We start from the raw sequence: 26,481 nt of genomic DNA on the forward strand, positions 1-26,481 counted from the left end.
CAGACCTGGTTGATCACCCATGTGTTCGACCTCAGTCTCCAGCCCCACCAAAAGCACATTATTAGACTGCTGGCGTGGCCCAAGTCCCTCAGGTAGACAAAGATATGACATTCTAAGGGGTTAGAGAGTACCTCCCAGGGCCCAAGGAAAAAGCCAGGCTTCTCTTTGGGTATGGGCAATTTATTACTATACCCTGAGGTAACATATTTTGTTCTTCATTTTGTCCCCTTTTTCTTTTCTTCTTCTTCTCATTTCTGTCCTTTTCCAAAATTTTTAAGGTATATATCTATGCCCAAACAGTCTATGCCCAGAAGACCCTCTCCTCTGCTGCTGTCCAGTCACTGTCATAGTGACTGGGTTCTATGTACTGAGAACAGGGTCAGTGGCGTCTCTTCATTCTAAGTTTGACAAACGCCGCAGAGTATGCTGGGAAAATTTCCTGGTGCCAGGACCCTGGAGAATGTTATTTGCAAGACAGTTTCCTCCTCAAGTTGAAAAAATACACAAACAAATACAAGTCACGTCAGAAACCAAGTACTAAAAGTCTGAATCCCATGGCAGCATAGGGATTGCCCCTTTCCACTAGGGATAGAGCATGCTGAAGATTTATGCTGGGTCATATAGTCTCAAACAATGAGAGTTCTTAAAAATATTAAATTACCCTAAATAAATTGACTATGTGATTCAGGTAAGGCTGCCTCACAGCCTTAGAATAGGTCCTTTTAAAGCTCTCTCAGGTGTCTTTTTGTTTTATTTGAGATTCCTTTCTTTGCCACCCTGTTTCCTTCAGTGAATGCTCAGCCAGGGAAAGCCTTCTCAGAAAACGAGGAGATTTCACCACCTTGAGTCTTTGATCTTCCTTAATTATCTTTAGAGATTTCTATAAGAGTAGCCTGCCTTAATTTTTTTTTTTTATTCTTTGGAAACATCAGACTGGGTCCAGCTTTGGGCTTATGCCTACATTATAAATGCTAAAGGGCTTTATTTGCAAATAAATTACTTCCCACACACACTTGTCAAACTAAATCATAAGGCACAAAAATAAAAGGACTTGAATTGACAAAAATGATAATTATTCGCAAAGGGAAACCATTTCAAATGTGTTCCTACTTACCCACACCTACTTTTTGATCTTTGGTCCAAAAACCCTCTTAAATTAAGCGTTTTGCTTTCAGTGCACTTATCTCAGAATTGTGGAATGAAATAAATAGGGAACATAAATGGCATTATTTTAAAATAATGCAATTTGTGTCTAGTATGGTCATGTGTGGTACTCTTACTTATTATGCTGAACTGTAATTTAAAATAGTTCATATCCTATATACTAAAAACTAACCCAGGGTTTTCTCCTACATTTTCAAAAATCATTATTATACATTCATATTGTCATTAACATTGATCATGCTGCCAGACAAGTGTTCTGCTTTATATATTTAATTAGATGTTTTATGTTTTATACTTGCACCTTGAGGTAATCTTAACATGAAGGGGACAATTTTGTAACTGCAAAAAAAAAAAAAAAAACCCAACACATATAATGAATAATATGTTTCCTGCTGCATAGAACTTTTAAAAGCCAAAATTCCTGCCTCAAAATGTTTTCAGGCTAAGGAAATTATTAGGAAAATTAAATGCTTTTAAAATGTCAAGAGTGAGTTAGTTCACTTATTTGGTTTGAGTTTTGGTTTGTTTGATGTATTCATGAAACCTGTTCTTATAGATGAGTCTATTTTTGCTGAAGAGAAATTATGAAGGTTTATTAAATAGGTTATTTGTAATCCTTAAAAAATTAAAGATAATGTAAGTGCCCCAAAATAGGAGGCTGGTTGCATAATGATGGAGCATCCATACAATGTGGCCCATAAAAGTCAGGATGTAAAATATTTAATGATATAGAAAAATGTTTACTATATGTTAAGTGAAAAAATAAGATTATAATGTAGTATGCACAGAATACTCCTTATTTGATTAAGAAAAAGTATGTATTCTATGAATAAATAATATATGTCAATATGCACAGAAAACACTGAAAGGATGTTCATACTAGGTTAATAGTGGTTCTCTTTACATAAATTAGGCATGGTTTGGAAGATCATAAATCATTAATTCTTAGAGACAAAGAAACTTTGAGATCACTTAATTCAGTTGCTCATTAACTCACCAGATAACTCATTCCATATACCGATTGATCCAAATATTTGGGAGTTTTTTCTTAACTTGTGTCTGCCTCCCTGTAATTTCCACTAGCTGATCCTATGTCTGCCCTCTGGAGCAGTGGGGAATAAATTCAATTCTTTATACATGACTGCTTCAACTATTTAAAGACAACTCCCAGTTCTTCCTAAATCTTTTTTTCTTCAGGGCGACAGTTTATTCAGTCTTTCTTTATGGTTTCCTGACTCCTCCCATGGCCCCACCATACTTACCTGGAGGCCCGGGAGTTGTTTGCATCCCTCTAAAATGAGTCATCCACAGTAGACCCTGCATTCCAAGTGTTCTTTGGCCAGATAGAAGCCAGTAAACCTCTTTGTTCCTTTGATCTCTGCGTAGCAAAAGCTGTCATTCATATCAACTTAAAGTTAACTAAAACTCTTTCAGGAAGTTTCTGCATAAGCAACTATTAAGAACCATCTGATCCAATCTGAGTTTATTCTATTAATTATTTGAATCCAAAGCAGGACCCATACAGCTACAACAATCTGTTTTTCAGCTTCTGGTCTTTATATTAATCCTTCATATGCCATATTTTACTTGTTTTAGTCCATATCTAAGTCTATCAAATACTGATATGTTTTAGGAAATAAAAAATCTATAACATTTAGTATGGAAAATAAGGACCAGTACAAAATGGCAAAACCAAGGAAAAAAAGAAATTCAATAATATCATATATAGTAGAGTGGTTAGTCAAGAAAAGGACATAAAATATGCTTGCTTTTTCCCTGACTTTTACAAGCAGGCCTCATTATTGGGCTTTCAGCCCTGTACCTACACAGAAGCACTCCCCAATGATATAGCTTGGACAGACCTCCCTACATTTTCCTCTTCATAATCCCATCCAATATTATGGCTTCAGCAATTATAGCTAATTTGTAAGTCCCAAAACTACATATTTGAGTCTGACTCTTGAATGAAATTCCAATGCCAATTTTCAGTTACTTCCTCTGTGTTCTCTACTTGGATGCTCATCTATGCATCTCTAAAAAAACTGAAGTCACCATACTCTCCAAAGTTATCCCTTCTCCTTTGGTTTCTAATCTGTTTGTAATAATTCTGTCCTTCTTGCTGGACAGCTTTGCATTTTAATCAATTAATTCATTCACTCATCAAATATCACTGGGCACCTAAAATCTGTCTTGCACCAATGACTATGTGCTGAGGATATGGTGGTGAATTAAAGTTCTTTCCCACATAGAGCCTCATTCTAGGCTACAAATTGTGTTATATAAGTGCAGTGATTTAAAATAAAATAAGAGAGAGAGCGTAAGAGTGTTTGCTTTCCACATTTAATAAGTCTCCAAGGCCTTTCCCTTCACTTTTAATGTCTCTGGTATTTATCCTTATTCCTCAGATCCCACACTATCCAAGTTCTGCTTTCAATGTGCCTCATTTGACAAATGGCAAAAATGTCTTGGTTTAACCCAGTTCATTTGAAAAAATATGTATTGAGCCCTTACCATATGCTGGGCGCTAGAATTGATACCGATCCCAAAATGATTTCTAAAAAATTTGCAATCTAGAAAGAGGGAGGAAACAAGCATCCAACCCACTTAAATACAAAACAAAATTGATAAACTCAGAAATTATACTCAACCAGCCATGGAAATTCACAAGATGGGGAGCTTCTGGAGAGGACTCAGTTAAAATGCTGCTTGAAGAATGGATGGGACCTTTACAATTTGCATTTGGGGAGGCAAAAGCACTCTCGGCAAAAGACTGGATGAGTCAAGAGAGGAATACCGAAAAGCACAAATGTCCGAATAATAGTGGGTGGTGCCATTTGCTGGGAGCTTAGGTTATTGGTAGAGGAAGCCGAGGTTAGGAAGGTAAACTGGGGCCATTCTGTGAAGAGTTTAAAAGGCTGGTTCAAGGAATTTGTATGTAATTCATTAAACTATGGAAACCTATTTTCTTCTCTTTGGAATGTGCATGACCTTTCTGTTAATCTGTTTGTTTATAAAACATGAGATAACTGCTTTCCACTAACCTAGGATATTGGCATACATGTTGGAACAGTACCTTATTATATGAAAGCTAAGTAAACATTGGTAGATGGTGGTATGAATGTATTTATGTCACAAAATTATGTTTCTGAGCTTTGGAGTATTTTAGGTTCCCATTATTTTGAAATTAGATAAAGGCTGCCAGTGAGACAATTTACAAAGTTCTATTCTCTTAACTTTAAATAATGAAGAAAAAAAAGCATTCTCCTTCAGCATTTATCAAAATTCAACAAACTGGCAGAGTCTAAAAAACACAACAAATGTGACCACAAAATTTTAGTAGAGTATCTTCAGATGTTAATGAATGTCTGAATGAAAATACCATAAATATGGTTTCTTCTAAATATATGTAAATAATTACCCATTTCTAGAATGAAACATTAGTTTCCAAAGAAGTAATTTGTCTTTCTAAACAAAAAAGACTGAATTGTTTAATTTAAATTTTGCATCAAGTTACAAAAGGAAATTCCCATTTGAACTGGTTTATTTCAAAAGCAAATAAACCAGTTGAGGTTTTCAAATATAGAATTATATGTATTGTGTTGATGACTTGTCATAACAAACAACATTCTGGTGTAACTTCTTATTCTGTACATGGACAATCTTCAAAGTATGGAATTGGTAACGAGTATAGTACTTTGTACTATATGGAGTAGATTTGAAACCCAATAAGATTTCAAAATTGGCCAATTTTACCAAGAAAACATGAAGAAAGGTTTCCATGGTTTCAGAGAATCAATAGTGCCCTCTAAAGGAAATCTATGTGAGGTACATTCAATATCTAGGTTTAATTCAGCACTTATTCCACGAAAATGCTACTTAATTGTAACTTATAATAATACAGATTAAAAATTACAAAAAGAATGCAGGCCAGCCCTCGTCATAAGTATCGCAAGTAGCTGTCTACACCAATGCTGGACTGGCTGGCAGAGCCACTTCGGTCCTAGTTGCTTTTGCCCCTTGTGAACTGTTGTTACCATCCTTATGGAAAGTTCCTAGAAAGGGAAAAGGGGATAATTTCCAAGTAGAGGATTAGACATCCTAGGATTTGGAGAGATTGGAACCCCAGAACAGATCCAAGTAGGTATCTTGGGAAAACGTGCTACACTGAAGAAAATATCTGCAGAATTAAATGCTGAGAAAGTCAGCTTTTGCCCAGGGCAATCGCTGAAAACCTGTGTAACGGGAAAGATAGACAAATTAGCTGAATTAGAAGAGGGCAGGCAGTGTAGCCTGGCTGAAACCTATGAGCATGAAAAGAAAAAGTGATATGAAACATTTATGGATTTTTATTTGTCCATCTAATTTTGTGGTTTATGGTTTTGCTTCTGTCCATTTTTCAAACACACACAGATCCATTCACAAATAGCTTGATAATGTCACAAGAAATATTGGGCAAAACCATATATTGCTATTGCCAATTAGGAGCAGAGCAAGTCTTGGCGATTACTATCTGCCTTACAGACATTAAAAAGTCAGTGAGTACAGAAGATTATTAACTCCAGATATTAATGGCTGCAGCAGAGTTACTGTCATAATGAGATGGTTGGGAATGAAAACACTTCATTTATTGTTACCAAAACTACACGTATAGAGCACTGTTTACATTTTTAAAACTTTTCCTCCAGAGTTCAGGTCCAGCTTTATCAGATAACAAAGATCACAGAGTAGGTCAGCACTTAGCATGTACACCTGTAGAAAACTTACCCTGAAATATTGGACAACTTACCCTGACATATTACTATACATATATCACTTCACCTGAGCCTCACAATAACTCATGGGGTTGGCAGAGCAGCTACTATAATAGCAGAGCAAGACAAAAAAAATCTTGTGGAGCATGAGTCATATTATGTGGGAAAATTAATTTTCCAATATCTATTTTTCTACTTATTGATTGGAATATTAAAACACTTGAAGATATACTAGGTTAAATGTTAATGGAAATAAAAAAATCTGCTAAGATGATACCGTGGCATCAACCACAGTCAGCAAGCTGTTCCCCAGCTTTTGGGACAATCCAGGTTAAATGGCACATTTCAGCAGAGAAGCTGTGGTAAGTAGAGCAAGGGGACAGCACTGCACCATCTTAATTAGATGTGACACATTAGTCTGAAGTAATCTGAGAATTAAAGCAAATAGAGCCATCTTTAGCAGGTTCCTCAAAATGAGACCAAAGCTACAAGTTGTGTCATCAGAGCAGAAGGACAGCAGGAGCTGCTGGAAGCAGCTGACTGTTATCACCACATCACATCGACTCACAGGCCTCCTAGGGTGTATTTGGAACTTCACAGGCTACAGTTCAAAGGGACTTTAAATGTTCGTTTAGGTTTTCCTTCCAATGGCTCTTAAAAGAGAAATCCCAGAGAGCAAAGATTCCTTTAAATCTCCAGGGCAGGAGGTAACACAAAACCCCTCCTCCTATAATTTATTATTTTTAGCTAAGAGGCTAATTTAAAGGAGGAGCCAAAGACGTGCTTGTAGGGAGTTTATCACCACCATAGCATGGCACAGTGGCTGGCTGGGCAGGAACCATAGGATTCCTTAGGTCTGACTGCCCTGTCTCCAGTGTGTAATGGAAGAGATATGTGCAGCATTCTCTCAGCATTTTCAGAATTCCCTTCTGGAACCAAGGCCCTGCTCAAGAACAGTGGCTCTAGATGAAGTTTGCTGCTCATAGGTGCTTCTGGATGAATAAGCAAGAACGTTTCTAGCCTGGGCAACAGACACAGCCTAGGTACAAGTGAGTGTTGGAGAAGCTGCCTTCAGTACCCTGGTCATCAGCCACAGCCCTGAGTCTGAGGAAGGGGCTGTTGTGTTCCTGCTGATGCCCACAAAAACTGAGGCTTATCACTGCCACAACCCAGCTCCACTTGTCCTGTTAGCTATTTTTATTATACTGTACTATATGGTCATCAGTACTTGGACACAGACAAAAATGGCACGGACAGAATTCCACGTGGTTAGGCAGGGCAAGTTATTAAAATCCCCAATTGGCTGCTAGCAAAACTAACAGAGGAGTTAAATAACTGGACCTGAGGACACTGCTAGCGAACAACCCTGTTTCCACCCTTTAAGCCAATGCTCTTCGCTTTTCGTCACTTACACACTTTACTTTGGGTCATGTGTCAATGAGGCAATCCAATAAAATAACAAACACTCAAGGGAGGAGAGCAGAAGTACTTCCCCTTAGACTCTCCTCTCTAAGGTCTTTCGGGAGATATCTTAAAATGGTCACTGTCTTCGTAAAAATTTTAGGCTGGAAAGGACAGAATTTTGTTGTGATTTTTAGGTTGACGAAAAGGAGTAAATGTACATCTTTTAGTGTCTCCCATGGGATGTTCAGAGTACATACCCACAGAATCTTTTGGGTGTTTATGAAAACTGGCCAGGATAACAGGGTTCTGCTACGTGTCAGGATGGGGGAGGGTGTTGCTGGGAGACAGGTCTTGAAGGGTACTACATTGATAAAGGAAAGTCATCTGTATGAAAACCCTCTGTCAAGGTGACTGCAGTTATTAAACTATGGAGTCATTCAGGATGTTTCCTGTGAACAATGGAGCAGTTATTCTCATAAATTTTAGTTTTATTTTACTAGATTTAAGCAGCATTTTGGTGTCCAGAAAAGCAGGAGCCCTGGGAAAGTTTTGAAGGTCTTGTGAGATAGGACAAGGAAATAATAGTCAATGGGGCTGTGTACCTAAATGAGCATTGGTCCAGAGTATTCATGGCAACAATAGCTTACTCGGTCTTCTGATAAAGAGAAAGAAACTAAATCCTGAAAAATATTTCTAGAGTCTTACTCATTACAGGGGCAATCAATGGTGTTAGAGAAACTTCAGCCCTAGTTTCTTCTGCCTACTGTGACCTGTTGTCACCATCCTTGTGGAAAATTCCTGGAAAGGGAAAAGGTGATGATTCATGACTAAAGGATTGAACATACTGAATTCTCAGAGATAGGAAACCCAGAAGTTAAGAAGTGTCATTTGGCCTCCATTAGTCTATTTAATCCCAGTAGCTTAAGGTTGTATTAATCAGGAAAACATACTTTTATGAGCATCAAAAATTGGAAAGCTAAAAACGACATTGCTGGAATGTAGGGTCCTGGAAACTATCTTCCTCCCATTTGGGGCATTTTTCTGCTGGCAACCAAGACTGTGGGGACCGGCAAATACAGTTTGCAGCTGCTTCAGGGGCAGCAGGAGCCAAACTCTGGACTCCGGTGTCCAGCGACTGTGGTGATGTTGGCTTTCTAATTCTGGTCTTTTATTGTCTGAGTTGTAGCTGGATGATGCATTCTTGAAGTCAGGTGGCCTCCTGATTGTAGTAGAAAAGTGATTCCCCTGTAGGTGGTCAGCCAGTGTTCTATGAATCACACCCAGAAGCCCAATGTAGAGCCTGCTCCTCCAGTTCTTCCAATTTCATAAGCACCTCACTCCTTGTATTAAATCCTTTCTGTTTAAAGTATCTAGAGGTTTCTGCCTTAGGTACTATGCTGTCTGATGCACAGAGTACTAGGAAAAACAAAAGAGACCTACACTAAACAAGTTCTGTTGATATTTTCATGTCAGTAATAAAGAAATAAAATCTAGGTAAACAAAGAATCTACTAAGGAGAAAAAATCCGAATTAAAGTTATCTGTAACACTTAATACCAAGAGAATTGGCATGGTATCAAATTTGGGAAAAGTGCATGTCCCTAAGATTTATAACCCATAGTTGCATAACACGGACTCTGAGAAGCTTGCAATAAAGAAGTATGCTTAATTTTGTTTGCCCAAGTGTTTCCTAAATTTATTTCAGAATGACAGTCATTATTTGGGAAATACTAATTTATTTAATTATGAGGGAAAAAGTACAGTGTCAATATAACTAAGAAAACATTTGAAACATCAAAAACAAAAGATTGGAATTTACTAAGTGAAGACAGATACAGAAAAAAAACCAGTAAGCAGTAAAACCAACAGAGTTAAAGTCTAAGTAACTGTTAATACAGTTATTAAATTTAGTATGCATATCAAGTAAAAGTCTTGAAAGGGAATGTAAAGTAATAATAATAACAATATGAATTTACATTCCTATAACATTTGAACAAAAACCAGCAAATGGGAAAGGGGGAATGAAGAAAATAGGATAATTTTTATATCTTCCACTGAGAGGGTCAACAGATTTGGGTTATTCTTGACACAGAGAGAAAAATTTAGGAAATAAATAACTGAGTGAACAAGTGTTTAATGATGAGGTAATATAAAAGTACTATGATTAATAACATTCAAATCAATAGACAGAAAAAAACAAAACCTAACAGAGGAAAAAAAAAATCAAGAACTTCAAGTATTAGCTGGTTAATGTTAAACAAAACCCAGCAGTGACAACTCTAAGTGTAACAAGCAAAAAACACTTATGCTGGCTTTTAAAGAAATCCAAATATATGCTCTTTATAAGAACATATCAAAGACAAAACCATATAGAAGGCATAAAATAAATCAAGGGATGAACAAAAACATGAGACATGCAAACCAAAGAGAAGTAGGGGGTCTTGATGTCAACACCAAAATAAAATTCAAGGTAAAAGAAATTACTTGAAGCAAAAGGGAGACTTTTATGTTGCCAAAAATTACACAATAATGACAAAGGGAAGTGATACTATTTTCTCCCTCTGAGTGCTCCCCCTGATAAGTGTTAAGTGTTAAGGTGCACCTCCAGAAGTGCCTCCCCTTAGCTCTCATTTGTTCCTTCCACAGGGTTAACTTATTTGATCAGTGAAATCAGAAAAGGATCATTCTGCATTCGTGGACTACTCTCATTGACACACTCGCTTACCCATCTGAAAACAGCGTGAGTTCTGTGTGGAAACCTCCCTGAATCATACAATGGTAAAATTAAAATCTGGCTTTGGAAAAATTCAGCCCTCCCACCTAAGCCATCCAATGAACAATAAAACAGTGTGCTTGCTATGCAGACACCACTTCAAGATACACTCCCAAGCATGCTCTTCCAATCACATTGTTGTTCCTATCCCTACCATTTAAAAATTCTGGGGCAACTGCCTTTTCTCATCTACCTTTATTTATGACTAAATAAAGTGAGTAAGTAGTGGAAAGTCTGTTTTGGTTAGAAATTCAGTCCTGAATTAGAGAAGTCCCCTAATTCAGTGTAGCATGCAAAGAAGCTAATATTTCATCCGATCCAATCCAATTCGAGTATCTTTCTCAATTAGTTTATAAACTGGAAAGGAAAGAGTTGTGAGTATTTAACACCCTCCAAACCTCCAAAATGGGGACCATTAACTTTATTGAAAATACATTAAAGAAATATATAAGAAGAAACTGACAAAATCACATTTTATTTTCATTTTTATTTGTAAATAAATAGAGAGGGGGTCTTGCTATGTTGACCAGGCCTCAAGTGATCCTCCCATCTTGGCCTCCCAAAGTACTAGGATTACAGGAGTAAACCACCATGCCTGGCTGACAAAATAACATTTTTAAAAGGAAATGAATGCTCTCTTTCAATCTTAAATTGAGCAAAAGGACAAAGAGCAGAACTGAAATTTGTATTCTACAGAGAGTTCTCATTCTTTTCATGTATTCATTAAAAAAAAATCTGCAAAATTGATCATATACTAAGCTCCAAATAGAATCTCAATAAATTTCAAAAAGTAACAATTCTACTTGCCATATTCTCTAACTATAAAAATAAAATCAGAAATTAACAATACAAGACAATGACAAAATAAAATTTTAAATGGAACCGAAATATAAAATAATCTTAACCACCTGGTCACAGAGGTAATTAAAATCACAGTTTAAGACACTGGAATTGTATCAGATGCCTCCTGTGTACCACCTCACATCCTCTTGGTCTCATCTCTGATTCCAGTTATATTTGTGGCAAATATTTCCATATAGGTTGCAAACTGTTTTGTGCACAGGGCAGCTCACCTAAAGAGTTAGTCATACTCAGTACTCATGGATTCTCAAGTAGGATTTGTGAGAAGGAGTCAATGGAGAAATACTTCTCCCCTTTGTCTTTTGAGGAGACAGTTCCAAGACACATTCAGTACAATCCTCAGAATGTCCTTATCAATTCACTAATGAATGCACATATTGGAGTTCCCTCCTTTCCTTGTTTTCTCTGGCCCCTCACTCCCACTTTCTGGGATCACTTCCCCAGCCAACTACTTGTACACAAGCTCTTGTCCCAGGCTTACCTTTCCCTTTCCCTGGAACATAAGTAAGTCAAGTACGGTCCTGAAAAGCGAACCATCAGGGTGGTATCTGGAGCCAAATTTACCAGTCAGATGGCGAAAAGAATTTCACTGTGGTGGGATGACTTCAAATAACAGAGAGATGACTGGGGATGTTACTGCAACAAGATTGCCTATAAGCACTGAATATATTTAACTACAGGATAAAAACTAAAGCAAATGCAGAATAAAGTATCAGAACAGAGTGCAAATGTTTTATGTCTTGGTGTGAAAATTACAAAACTAATAAAAGTTGGGAAGAAAAAGGAGAAAAAATAGCAGCTAAAATAAGTATATTGCTTTCCTTATTTGTAATAGTTTAGAGTTGAAAGGTATCATTTAAAGCTGACAAACCAAGTCGTAGAAATATAAAAATATTTAACAGTATAAAGAATAAGAAAGACAATATTATATTATCAACTAAAATCTATTGTTGAAGAGGAGTCATGAAAAAGAAACACACTAATTTTCAACACTGCTGAATATGGAACTTATAGATACTGCCCAAAGTAATAGAAGATCAAAGGTATTAGGCATGAGAAAAAACCCAACAGACTTTTCTTAATATCAGAAAAAAATACACACACAAAAGAAGATAAACCATATAGTGAAAGATATTTTAAGCACTGCTAAAGCAGAGTACATAAAATAATACGATGGAATAAAGATCAAATGTATCTGAATATCAATAAATGTCAAGCTACTTAACTTACACATTGAAAAAAAGATTTTCAGACTGGATCACAAAACCGTCCAACTCTATGTTTTATACAAGATACACACCTAAAACAAAACAATCCAGAAAGGTTACAAATAAATACTAGGCAAGCATCCCTCAAAATAAAAATAGAATCAAGATCTTAATATCAAAAAAGGTAGAATTCAGACCAAAAAGCAAACAATAATCTACAAAAATAAGGACTTTCTTAAAGCCAAAGGGCACAATTTACAGTGAGGGTATAATTATGAATCTTTTATGCATCAAATAACACTCTTGCATATTAAATAAAACAACCATTACAGAAATTACAAGGAGAAACAGAAATACATTCTACTAACATAATTCACCACATTACATTGAGACAATCATAGCCTATCTGTGGCCACCAAAAAAGCATATGAAAAACAACTGAACAGCCAGTTTTTATTATAAATACTCAAGTAAAATGGGAAAAGATGTATATTTGCCTAATGTAATAAATCTATCTCAGCCCAAAAGTCAGCATCATGCTTAAAGGGAAAAGAGGAGAAGGCAAACCAACTAAAAAATATGTACAAGACAATTATGACCTCTATCACCATTATTATACAATACTGTGCTGGAGGAAGAAGCCAATGCAATTAGCCAAGAGAAAGAAATTAGAGAGCTTTAAAATGGAAATGAAGACTTAAAACTATCATTATCAAAATTATTATGTACCTGGAAAACTAAAAAAATAGCTTTTACTTATACAAATACTAATGAGATAAGATATGAAAGACCACATTAACAATGGCAACACAAAGGTTTAAAAATCTATAGAATCACAAGAAATGTGTAAGACCTATACAAAAACAATAACTACAACAAAACTTTAAAACATTACTGAAGTATAGAGAAGAATTAAACAAATGGAAACATATACTATATTCTTTGATAGGTAGGCCAAACATTATAAAAGCATGGATATAATATTTAAATAAAAGCACCAAAATGTTTTTTTAAAAAGCTAAACAAAATGATACTAAAGTTTATAGGCAAAATGTATACATAAAGGAATGAAAAACTTGAGATGAGTAACAGGTTGGAGAGTCTAGTGTCACTAAATATTAAAATATAATTTACAGTTTCAAACATTAAAATAGGGTGATACTGGCACATGAATAAACAGGCAACCAGTGGAACAGAATAAAAATTCCAGAAATAGATCCAAATACATAAAATAATTTAGTATATAATAAAGGTGTAATTTCTAATCAAACTCAAAGATGGGCTATTTAACAAATGGCATCAGGCTAGGTGGATTGCCACTTGGAAAAAATTAGTTAAAGCTGTATCTCACAGTATATATATGTATAAACTCTATAGAAAATAAAACTTAGAATGTTAGATAAAAATTAGAGAATCCTTTTATAACCCTAGAATGATTAAAAATAAATGACTGATAAATTTTACATAAAATAAAAAAGTAAGCATGGTAAAAAGAAAAAAATACAATAAGCAAAATCAAAAGATAAGAGATGATTTGGAAGAAAAGTTTTCAAGTCACATCACAGGTAATTGACTAATCTATCTAATATATAACTCAATCTTGGAGATAAAGATCAATAATCTAATGGTAAAATGGGGAAAGAATATGAATAGGTAGTTCAGAAGTGTATGGCTCTTAAATGCAATCTCCAATTAAGGGAAAGGCAAATTTCCTTACAAATATTGAGCTATCTATCAAAAGGGCTTAACAGGCACTTACACTGATGAGTGTGTAAATTGGTTAAAACCATGGTGGATAAAATTGTAGTATCTGTTAAACTAACAAATGATATACCTTCTGATCCATCAATTCCATTTCTGGAAATTTCTCCTACAGCTATACTTACACACAAGTAAAACTAATGTACAAAGTCATTTAATGAAGCATTATCTGTAATAGCAAAGACTGGAAGCAACCCAAATACCTATCACAGGAGGACTGGTAAATTAATGCTGGTATATCCATAACAATTGATTAGCATGAAGCTATCTCTTAAAAGTGAAGAGGCTTTCTATGTAATGATATGAAAGGATCACGATATTACTCTCCTAAGGCTGCTGTAACAAATTACCACAAACTGGGTAGCTTTAAAACAACAGAAATTAGAATATTCTTTTACAGTTCTGGAGACTAGAAGTCTGAAATCAAGGTGTTGGCCGGGTCATATTTCCTTGAAAGGCCCTAGGAAAGATGCTTCTCTCTGAGCTTCGCATGGTTGCTGGCAATTCTTGGTGTTCCTTGGCTTGTAGACATCACTCCAGTCTGCCTCCATCTTCACAAGGCATTCTCCTCTGCACTAGGGCTTGATTAAATAACTGGGTACTACAGCTAGTTAAGTTGACATATAGACTAACCATCATAATAAGAAATATAATGAATAAAAAATAAATCAACATACATAATAGTATATAAAATATGCCATATTTACAAGATGGAAATAATGACAATTCATACTGTATTTGCACAAATTTTGGAAATGTCACTGGTTCTCAAGAAACCAATGAAAATAGTTTTTTTTAATATTTATGTACATTCATAACTAGTTAGATTAAGGACAGGGAAAGGAACAAGAATGTATTGTATACCTTTCCATATCATTTTTGATTTCTGAATCATGGAGTGTATTACCTAGCCAAAATGTTTGATTTTTAAAAAAGAACATAAAATAGTAAGATACGTGGTGCTGATACAGAAAAAGAAGGATCATTAGAACAAGATACAAAGTCCAGAAGTGTACACGTACATACATGGACACACACACACACACACACACCAAAAATGGCATTTTGGATGAGCTGGTTGAACTTTAGGTTAATTTTATGTTCTTTTGCTTATCTGTATTGTCTATTTCCTGTATCAGCTTGTTTCTTTTGCATGAATAGAAAAACAATTTAAAATGTCTTTAATACCACTTGGCAAGTTTGGCAGAGGCAAACAATTAAGGATCAAAGCCTTTTTAGAATAAAAAAATTCTCATTTTCCTAAAAATGTTTAAAAATTGATTGCCTCCCCTATTAAAGGAAACATTTTTTATCTTGAAGGATTTGCAGAGAGAGGAGAATGAAGAAGGGCCAGCAACTTAATTAAGTTTGTACAATTCAGATATTTATGAAACTCAAAATTAACAGGGAGAAATGAGCTTTAGGAAAACCATTTCCAAAGTGGAAGCTGTTTGACATGATCATTTCTTTGTTATTGTTGTTTGTATTCATGCTTTTTACACACTGAGTAATCTTGTGCACACACATTGCTACAAATTCCACATATGTATGATTAAGACAAAGATCAATATCTTTGGTGTAGATCTTTCTGTTTGCTAGGCGTGTCCATATGGATATCCCACAACAAATTCATCATGTTTAAAACGGAGCTACTCATGAACTCCTACCTTCTAAATCTGTTTTTCTTATAGTTTCCATTTCAGTCAGTGTCCCTGTCATCTCCTCAGTTACTGGGGGCTTCTTCTCTCTTGCTCTCTCCCACATTCAGTTGATTACCAAGTGGTGTCAATTCTCTCTCATAAATAACTCTATCATTCATCTATATAGTATATGCCCACTGACTTTTCCATTATTTCTTATCTGCAATTCCTAAACTGTTCAATCCATCTTCTACATTAGTATAGAAGTGCCTGTTTCAAAATGAAAATCTTATGTCATACTGCCATCTAAAAATCCTCTTATTATTTCTAGTAAATTGCATTATATAATAGGAGCTCCGTAAATGCTTAATAATGAATGAATTAATGTACAACTGCAAGATGGGCAGGAGTAGAATCGGGCATAGTTATTTTCATACTTATGAGCCATAAAACAATTGCTAGAAAAAATGTCACCCAGATAAAGCCATTTGCTAGTCCTTGACCTCTGAAACAACTATCCATATCACATCAAACTACCGTAGGTGAAGGTCTCTTTTTCTTCATATGCTTCTTGATTTTATTTTACTAAATCAACCAAGGGCAATGGTTGCAATTTATATAAGATTTTGAAATCAATTATACCAATAAATAATAATCATGATAATCATTATAAAATAGCATTTTTGCAGAGCTATAGATACAGTTGAGATGTATTTGCCAATGGTGATATAAAATTCAGAACTTTTTCAGCTTCAAATTCATATACATTGAGCAACGCAAAGAAATACTCTCCCTAAAATAAAAATGACTAATTCTCCATCTCCTAATTGTTATTCAAAACACATTCTTTATAAGTATACCTAAACACATTTTTGCAATACTAAAAGCATCTGGAGATATATAGCACTTACCTTGCTATTAATTTAAATGCAATCCTCAGCTGTATTTTTATGAATTAATAAAAATGTTATTTGGGCAATCTGGGTTTTGCAGTTAATCAAGAGAATTGTATCTTTACGAGAATATCCTAGCAACCTCTCAGCAGGTAAGAAAAAAACCCAGCTGACCATGTACACTGATTTAATTAATGCTGCTGGACTCCATCAAACTTTGCAGTTAATCAAAAAGACACTTAAAAACAGAAACAGAAATTATGCTACAGCTGAAAATGAAAAATACTGGTGAAGGGTACTAAGAGAAAAATTTCATAACTAAATGAGAACTCCTTACTCTGTAGAATGTTTATCAATAAGCACAGTAACAAGAAAATTGATGAAGTTACGACTCCAGTGGGGGTGTCAAAACCAATATATTTATTACTCTAACTTTATAACTAGTATTACTCTAATACTTTATATAAAGTATTACTCTAATACTTTATATAAAGTATTACTCTAATACTTTATATAAAGTATTACTCCATTACTTTATAACTCTGGGATTGCTAGTCCCAGAGCCAAAATTACATTGGGATAATCAGTTTTAGGGATACATTCAAAACTTGCATTGCCACTACATTTTCACTGGCCTGTCAGACTGTCCATTTTCTAGTGGAGATGCATTTTATGGCACCTGAACCTTGGAGAAATATGCTTCTCTCTTCTACATTTGGAAATAGACCTATTTTCATCCCCACCCCTCACCCACTCCGTCATCAGTATTAATATTTTATATGGCCTGATACTTGGCACCATATAAACAGATTACACAGAAACAGGTCTGTTCTATACGAAGTGGGTTTTGTTTTTCTAAGACAAAAAAAATTAAAAAGCCAAAGAAAGACATATGAAGACTTTATATAGCAAACAAAATTCAAATGTGATCGACTGTGTTAGTAAATAAACACTTCTTCTAGATGTATGTAGAAATTCTTGTTTATATACCTTTGTCTTCACATACACTGAGGAGTGGCTACGTGAGAAGCGGGAATACTTAATTCTGTCTCATTTTTCTTTTTTTTAAATATTCCCTGTATATTGGCTAATTTAGATAATTTTACTTTTTTTCCTTTTTTATTATACTTTAAGTTCTAGGGTACATGTGCACAACGTGCAGGTTTGTTACTTATGTATACATGTGCCACGTTGGTGTGCTGCACCCATTAACTCGTCATTTATACTAGGTATATCTCCAAATGCTATCCCTCTCCCCTCCCCCCACCCCACAATAGGCCCTGGTGTGTGATGTTCCCCTTCCTGTGTCCAAGTGTTCTCATTGTTCAACTCCCACCTGTGAGTGAGAACATGTGGTGTTTGGTTTTTTGTCCTTGCGATAGTTTGCTGAGAATGATGGTTTCCAGCTTCATCCATGTCCCTACAAAGGACATGAACTCATCCTTTTTTATGGCTGCATAGTATTCCATGGTGTATATGTGCCACATTTTCTTAATCCAGTCTATCACTGATGGACTAATTTTAGTATTTTTTAAAGCTCAAGCATAGAAACCACTTGACTGGACCATCAAGTACATACACACACACTCCCACATACTTTTCTCAAACTTTCAAAAACCTGAACATTTAAGAAACTTGTTGCATTAAAAAATGAATGTTCACAAAGAATATCAAATTTAAATCACATTGATTTGTTCTTCTTGAGGGAATGCTATAAGAATGATGTTTTGAAGTTTTTCTGAAAGTTTGGGAATCATAGGTTATAATGGAGGAATGCTATATGAACTACTCAATCTTTTTGGTGTTCATTGTTCCAATAGAATTCCTCTTTCGTGACTAGTTCAAATTTTCTGACATGTTAACCATGCAGAACCGACAGTTACAGATCACAACTGGTTCAGTCACAAAATAAAAAAGACAGTGGCTTCTTTCTAGTCCAGACAGTGTGCAGTGTGAGGAGGCAAAGATGAGTCCATATACTGCACCTGCTCATTGTGATCACAAGCCCTAAGTGCTAGATTTAAATATAGAAAAACCTTCCAGGGTAGCCATTTCTGTACATAAAGGAACACCTACTCACCCCAACGAGTAGTACTTTAGAATAGTGGTTCTCAAATGAGCTGCAACAGGACCACCTAGAGGGCTTGTTCAAATACTGATTGCTGGCCCCTACCCACAGAGTTTCTTATATAGTAGGTCTGGGAATACAGCCAGAGAAATGACATTTATTTCATTTATTTTTTTCTTTTTTGAGACAGAGTTTTGCTCTCGTTGCCTAGGCTGGAGTGCAATGGCAGCGATCTCGGCCACTACAACCTCCACCTCCCGGGTTCAAGCAATTCTCCTGCCTCAGCCTCCCGAGTAGCTGGGATTATAGGCGCCCATCACCACGCCCGGCTAATTTTTTCTATTTTTAGTAGAGATGGGGTTTCACCATGTTGGCCAGGCTAGTTGCTAACTCCTGACCTCAGGTGAGCCACCTGCCTTGGCCTCCCAAAGTGCTGGGATTACAGGCGTGAGCCACCGTGCCTGGCAAGAACTGACATTTCTACCAAGTTCCCAGAGGGCATTGCTGCAGCTCTGGAGGTCATACTTTGAGGACTATTGCCTAACGTATAACGTAAATTTATTTAAATGATGCTGAATATGTTCTTCAAGAGGAAAACGTTAGTTACTGTACAGGGAAATGCCACAATTTTCTGCCTAGGATGAAAGAGTGCATGATATTCATTATAAAACTAGACTTCAGAAATATGGGCCCCATTTTTCTATATTCTAGACCCCGGTCATAATGTGTAAAGCATTAACACTAACAGATTTTCCTGGCCTATATTCTTTGGTTGTATTGATCCTATTTCTCTACTGAAAATTATTTTAGATAAAGACTATGAAGGTTTGTCCTGATTACTTGGAGCTCCTCTGTAAGTACTTAGAAGAGTAAATATTACAGGTATCACAGAGATTAGAAGCAAATATTGAGGCTAAATTTAAGACTCTGGGGGAAGTTCTTATAGAAGAACAAAACAAAGCCTTAAATAAACCTTTTTTTCTAGGTGTACTTAGTTTTCAGTAGCTGTGATTGCCTATATAAAAAACTCTTGGGTTCTTTGTATCAGGGTTAAAAAAAAAATCTGACATCTATAATGTCCTGTTACAGACTACACAAAAAGTATGCATAACCAGGATCAATATCAACTGGGACCAGAAATTTGAAATTTGGTATTCAGGTCAGTTAAAGAGAGAAGAAAGACAGTCACCATTGGCCATGGTAGTTAAGGAATCCCCGTAGTTCTACTGGCAGGGAGACCATCCTGAATTCTAATGCTCTGCTTTCAGAACACAGTCTGGGTTCCTGATTTGTATCTGTTACCCTTCATGGAAATGGCTGGTGAAGCAAAACTATGTGTGTAAAACTGCATCTGCCACAGGCTGCTTGTCCACAAAAGCAGCAAAGCATCTCTATGGAATACCTCCGTATGGATCTGTAAAGAAGAGTCCCACTTCAGTCAAAGACAGTAGATTATGAGGTAAGATAACACGTGTAGTTTTTAAGATTCCATACTGACAAGCTTCTGTTGTTTTAAAAAAAAGTTTTGGGTGTTGATACAGAAATTAATGCTAAATAGATAATGATCTCCCTCTAATGACATGCTTCATCATGTTACTTATTCTCTTCTCTCAAAAATACACGATGTCATTTAATCTTCACAATAATCTTGTAAGATAGGATCAGCTCTATTTCACTTCTGGAAGATGTTAAGAAAAGTTAATTATTTGACAAAAGTTGTAATTAGCAATTGGCAAACACTCCAACCCAACTTCTGACTCCAAAGTCAGTGTTTTTACTATTCTACTCTGGCTGCTGAGTTCTAATTTTTATTTTGTCTTAGATGAGGTAGATAGAATATAATCACTTATATATGGATATGTATCTCAAAAATGTAGCATTTAGTATGGAAAATACATATTTGGGTCTCTAAGTCTTTCTATGAATTCTAAAATGTAGATGTCATATCCATCTTACCTACTGTAGCTGATAAATCGTTCACCCTTTAATAATCAATGAACTTCACAGTGCAACCCCATCATATCTTATTAGAGAAATGCCTCGTTCCTGGGAATAAGGAGTGCTGAACAAGTAACCAACTTTTAATGTTTATTCCCTATTATTTTTATTCCATATTATTTTTTGATTAAAATTTTTAATAAAAAAAGAATATTTTTTGTATGTCAAAAATTCCTTCATCAGGGGAAACATGCCTCCTCCATTCCACAAAAATCCTGTTCATTCCATGAAGTAGGTAAGAGTAGGGATCCATCCTTTCCCTGCACAAGACCACCAACCTTAATGCTGAGCACACAGCATTCCTTGGGCCAATCAGACTTCTGCCAGACTAGACTTTCTTTTTGCAGGGGGTGGGAGAAGGGGCATGCCAGATGAAGGAATGATGTGGGTTCAAGGCTACCAACTGTAACAACTGCAATATTATCAAATGTAAAGTTTCTCTGAAAATGAGACCCAGCAGTGGACAAAGTAAGTACTATTATTCGAACCTCCAGATCCAACCACACATTATTAAGCTTTCTGGTTTTGAGACAAAAGTAATTTCCTTATTTTGCTTAAGCTTGTTTGATTTGGGTTTCTGTTACCACTTAAAGAGTCTAGGCTGGGCACAGTGGCTCATGCCTGTAATCCCAGTACTTTGGGAGGCCGAGGCAGGTGGATCACCTGAGGTCAGGAGACGGAGACCAGCCTGGCCAACATGGTGAAACCCTGTCTCTACTAAAAACACACAAAAAAATTAGCTGGGCGTGGTGGCAGGTGCCTGTAATCCTAGCTACTTGGGAGGCTGAGGCAGGACAATCGCTCGAACCCGGGAGGCAGAGGTTGCAGTGAGCCGAGACCGTGCCATCACACGCCAGCCTGGGGGACAAGAGCGAGATTTCATCTCAAAAAAAAAAAAAAGTACTAAAACAAAACTCTTTCTAAAATATTTCTTTAGATTTCTCATATTGAGGCTACTGAATGTAATCTACTACCTGTGTAATCTCATGGGTAACCTATAACATATATCACAATCTATTAGCTGTAACTGAAAATGGGAATAACAGTACTTATTTGGAAAAACTTTGTGAGGAATAAAGCACATAAAAATGCCAACTGCCATGTCTGGCATTCAGCAAAAATAATTGCTCTCCACAATTATTGTCTTTCCAAAACAACAATAGCAGCTAACGTCCGAGTGCTTCTGGTTCTAAGCAGTTTTTCTTGTATTAATTTCGAGTTAATTAGGTTAGATTACTGTGAGGTAGGCACTCTAATTAGCCCTGTTTTATAAAGAAGAAAACAAAGGTGCAGAGAGGTGTTGTCACTTATCCAAGGATACACACAGACATTAAGGGACAGCTGAGGTATGAATTACCTATCACATTATGCAACCCAAAAGTTCCGTGGGTTTGAAAGTTTCTGGATTTTGTTCTCTCTTTGCTGTGAAGCTGTTAACTCCCCTCTCCTTCTTATGTCACTGAACCCGTCTTTAGAAAATCCTTTCAAAGTTTAGTTTTTTTACTCTTCTGTGGGTTAGGAAACAAACTCATCATTCTTACTGCAAATTTATTGATTTATTATTACTTTTAAGTTCCAGGATACATGTGAAGAATGTGAAGATTTGTTACATAGGTATATGTGTGTTATGGTGGTTTGCTGCACCCACCTACTGACTTATCTTCTAAGCTCCTTCTCCTCATCCCCGACCCCTCAACAGGCCCGTGTGTGTTGTTCCCCTCCCAAATTTAATACTGAATAAAGTAAGGAGAGTTCTAAGTGCAGATAAAAAAGACATAATGTATTTAGTACAGAGGTTTTAAGATAATTTGGAGGTTTAAAAGCTTTTTCTGCTTATGTCTTGTGCAAAGTATAGCATTAATGTATTACACATTCATACCTGTATTCTATTTGTTCATTCTTTTTTCCCTACAAGAAACTCATAGTTAGCCATGGTAATAGCAGCTAATGTTTACCGAGTGCTTATAATGTGCCAGGCACCTGCCAAGCATAAACCTAAGTATTTCATTTACTCATAACCACCATAAGAAGTACTATTAAAGACCAATAACAGCTGAGCAAGCTGTGGTCCAAGGACACACAGGGAACAGTGGGAGGGCAGGGATGGAACCTCATGCAGTCTGGCTCACTGTGCTCTTCATCCACTTTGTGAAGACAGGGGCCTGTCTGGTTTACTCTCCACGCTCTCCTGCCATCTAACACAGTCTAGGGCATCCAGAAAGTACTAGTGGTTAATTTTTTAAAATTCTCCTGAATAGACTCGCTTGAACCTGGGAGGCAGAGGTTGCAGTGAGCCAAGATTGCGCCACTGCACTCCAGCCTGGGCGACGGAGTGAGACTGTCTCAAAAACAAAAAAAAAAAAAAAAAAAAAAAAACAACACCCAAAAAACAAAAGAAACAAACAAACAAAAAACTCCTAAATAAAAGGAGAGCAATTTCAAGTGATATAAAAGGAGACTTTAACATAAGAAAGTTTTGTGTAGAAGGGGAAAAACTTTTTAAGGCAGATTCGTTGCAATTTATGGTAACTTCTTTAATCCTAAAAAAATCCGTATTATCCCATAATACAAATTTCCCTTCCCCTTTTCATCAGGCAGATTTACATGCTCTATCCAACTAACAACTAGTCGGGGATACCAGAAGCCGAGTATCTCAGAAAATGAGGTGGAAGAGGATAATCAGAAAAATGGCAAGTCAGCCATGGAATAAATTTGTGTTTATTTCACAATTCAATTTAATCCTCTTTACCCTCATCTTTTTTTAAAAAAAAAAATTATGAGCAATATGTGCCATTACGATAGCCATTAAGGGTGAAAGGATTAATTAAAACTATAATTATCTGATAAGACTAGCGTACTGTCTAACCTGATTTAGAGAAAATTCATCTACTTCAACTAAAAATACTCAACATAAAAAAAGGTATAATGAAACAAAAATTAACCCTGCAGGGCCTGTTTCTATTACATATTTTCTAAGTAGCCTCAGGTATCACTTAAATAAAGAGTCATAGTGCATTTTTAATTTTTATTAGTAACAGTTCTGAGTACAAATAAATTTAATGACATTTAGAAAAAAAAACAATTTACCCTGTAAGGTTTGTTCATAAGGAAAACCCTGTTTTGTACATTTTAATCTCCAATTTTAATGCTTAATATCATAATGCCTTTAAATCTGTAACTTAACTTTAGGTTTAATTTTAATAATTCTGTCTTGTTGCATCTTGTTAAAGAGATTATCAGGTAGAAAAAAAGCAAAAAACTAATTTAAATGACGTGAATAAAAAACTTAACTAAAAAGTTTTAAAAGCCTTTAAAACAACCTGAAAATTAGAATACTTTTGGCAGAAAAATTAGCAGCTAGGAACAAAATTAACATTACATAATATTTTACCAATAACTGCATTACAAATAATATTGTTTTACATATATTAGAATGATTTGCAACATATTATAGTAAATGGTTATACATATCAGACATACAAATCTATTAAGAAAACTTTTTAATATAGTTTAGCACTTTTGAGAGATTCTGTTCCCAATAAATGAAAGGAACACAATTTAGAAGATGACAGGTGGTACATCTTTTAATTGGAGACCTAACCAGGTAAGTCTTGACAAATAGTCATGCAATGAAATTCAATAATATGCATTTATAAGAACTCAGAATAACACAGTAACTCCTTCCCCTCATCAGTATATATGACTGGCGTCAGAAATCATACTACGAGCAAATGCTAGTAAATTCTTGAAAAAAACAGCTCACTTTAGAATAAGTGCCAATCTAAATTTTTTATTCTTCCCAACACACTATTTCCACCACTCTTCATTTTAACAATGTTTTCTCCTTGGGCTGGTGGTATATTACTGCTTTTTAAAGACCAATCATACCCAGCATGATCCAAGGTCATCAACTTCTCTATAAGCTGAAGTGAATTACAAACAGCCAAAAGACCAATGCATTTAAACAGAAAACTATCCACTCTAGTCAACAAGGCAGAAGTCCTATGTCTGAAACACTTCTATTCAAAGTTGCTTTAAAACTAATCCTGTAAGTCCAATAGTATTACACTATTGTTGTCTCCTTGGTTTGAGGACAAGTTCAAATCTTAAAAGCATTAACATTGCCAAATTATATTACTCTGGACATAATTGAACTGAAGATCTTTCTATAATATATTGGGATAAAGTTTTTCTATTCTTTGCAGTTGGTATGTATTTCCACTATTCCTTGCATTTGGCATGAAATCTTACACCCAGTCACTGAGATACAAAGAGTGTAGGAGAACAAGGAGAGGAATTACACTGTAGCCAAGCTTCTGCGGGCTATGACAGAGAGCAACTAACTGTCCTTGCAAACAGAGAAATGTCTTCCGAACTCAACATAATATTCTAACAGAATTGTAGGTAAGTGATTTCAGTAAATACTGAAATTGGGAAATGAGTAGTGTTTAGCTGTGGGTACTTTCAGAGGAATGGGAAATCCCAATGTTGTGACTGCTATCACTCAAGAGTAGCTTAGGACTGCCACGTAAGATAGGGACCCCTGGCCCTATCCATAAAGGGAAGGGCTCCTAAGAAGCACTGGTTCTCCACCATCCGGAGCTACACTTCCCAACACAGACTTTCACCCTTAATTTTCATTCAACAATTAGTGGGAAGACTGTATTTAGCACAGTGAGAATATGATTAAAAATAAATACATAAATAGGAATAAAAGTAGAAAAGGAATACCACCTCCAGTGCAGTTAAACTTGCCATAGCACTGGATGAAGAGTTAAAATCTATTTCATTTTTCAAGACATATTTTTATTTTTGGTTTCATTCAAAAAAGCCTCCTTCATTCTTGGCAAACTATCTATGTGGTGTATGTATGATCTACTTCTTTTTAACTGCATTGTATTTAGCTATTAAAAATCATTCCTTAATAAGGACATTTTAGCATTAAAAAGTCTAAATGTTTATAATAAATACTGTATTAAAATATTTCAATATTTACAATTAGAAAAAATGTATACTCTAGTCAGTCATCTCAGTGCTACTTCTTCAATTTCATCTTCTACAGAATCAGCTGCTTTTACTGCTGGTTTATCGTCTGCATGTTTTAATCGGTGCCTATTTGGATTAAAACTTCTTCCTTCACTGAGGAAAAAGCCTTCATCTTCATCATGTTCTTGATCTCTGCTGCCTTTATTCCCAGGGAGAAAATTTAGAGGGTCAATGTCTCCTTTACTGGAAGCCACAGAATTTGGGTCACTGCTTTTGGAGGAAATGGTGCTGCTACCACTGGCACCAAATAACTGTTCCATCAAATTAGCTTTTTTCTCTTTTCTTGTAATTAAATCTACACCATCTTTACTAAGTTTTTCCATACTGTTTCTTTGGAAATCCAAAAAACTACTTTTTTGACTAAATGGATTTGACCTCTCTGATGTTTTTGCAAACGAAGGCACGTAGCTACCAAATGCGAACTCATTAGGGGAGGCTGGACTTCTAACATTTCCTGAATTCTGACCTTCTCCTTTTGGAGTTGAGAAACTGATGTCTTGCAAATGATGCCCATTAAATAATCTCTCTGAGGATTCAGAGAACCTGTATGTTTTGGGGCTTCTCTCTGGGGAGTGTAGTTTTGATTCAAAATCAGGTAACAATGGCAAAACAGGGTATTTTAGATTTCGAGAATCTTGGAGTTCTCTGTCAATTTCATTCAGTTTAGCAAGTAGCATTTCTCTCTTCAGTCTTTCTTCTTCCTCTCCTTGCAATTTATCCATATTCTGAATTGGATACATTCCTAGTTGGTACCTTCCAGTTTCCCACTCTGGCTTTTCTTCTCTTTCCAGTAAAGATGCCTTTTCTTTTTGCTTTTTATCAAGTTCTTCTCTTTCCCATTCTGTATGAAATCAAATTTTTTAAATGGGATTTTGTAACAGTCAATATTTTTAAATAGGAAAACTATCAACTTTC

The 26,481-nt window shown here is 35.7% G+C and overlaps 1 protein-coding gene and 1 long non-coding RNA gene across 10 annotated transcripts in view, besides 1 other annotated feature; one reads left to right on the top strand and one right to left on the bottom strand.

Moving 5' to 3' along the window:
- The window catches only part of LOC100506851 (uncharacterized), an 84,650-nt gene that overhangs the window by 56,413 nt on the left and 1,756 nt on the right, over positions 1-26,481 (top strand). For 2 of the 5 annotated variants that reach the window (XR_001744215.3, XR_942713.4), the window contains 2 exons: positions 9,965-10,058; positions 19,791-22,910. This is a non-coding gene — a long non-coding RNA (uncharacterized LOC100506851). Of the gene's footprint in view, positions 1-9,964; positions 10,097-19,790; positions 22,911-26,481 lie in introns of those variants that run through there. The other 3 variants (XR_001744213.2, XR_001744214.2, XR_942711.4) reach the window with 3 other exon arrangements.
- Positions 2,313-2,607: an enhancer, noted in NCBI's record as "tiled region #1391; HepG2 Activating DNase unmatched - State 8:EnhW". NCBI's record gives its function as "activates a minimal TATA promoter and a strong SV40 promoter by Sharpr-MPRA in HepG2 cells {active_cell/tissue: HepG2}" and the evidence as "EXISTENCE:reporter gene assay evidence [ECO:0000049][PMID:27701403]".
- Positions 23,532-26,481, bottom strand: part of LCA5 (lebercilin LCA5) — a 53,792-nt gene continuing 50,842 nt past the window's right edge. For all 5 annotated transcript variants that reach the window (XM_047418251.1, NM_001122769.3, XM_011535504.2 and 2 more), the window contains one exon: positions 23,532-26,407. In XM_047418251.1, the coding sequence (XP_047274207.1) occupies positions 25,545-26,407 (863 nt within the window). In that variant the 3' untranslated portion in view covers positions 23,532-25,544. The remainder of the gene's footprint in view (positions 26,408-26,481) is intronic.

This window comes from Homo sapiens, chromosome 6, assembly GCF_000001405.40.
Source record: "Homo sapiens chromosome 6, GRCh38.p14 Primary Assembly".
In the NCBI taxonomy this organism is placed as follows: domain Eukaryota; kingdom Metazoa; phylum Chordata; class Mammalia; order Primates; family Hominidae; genus Homo; species Homo sapiens.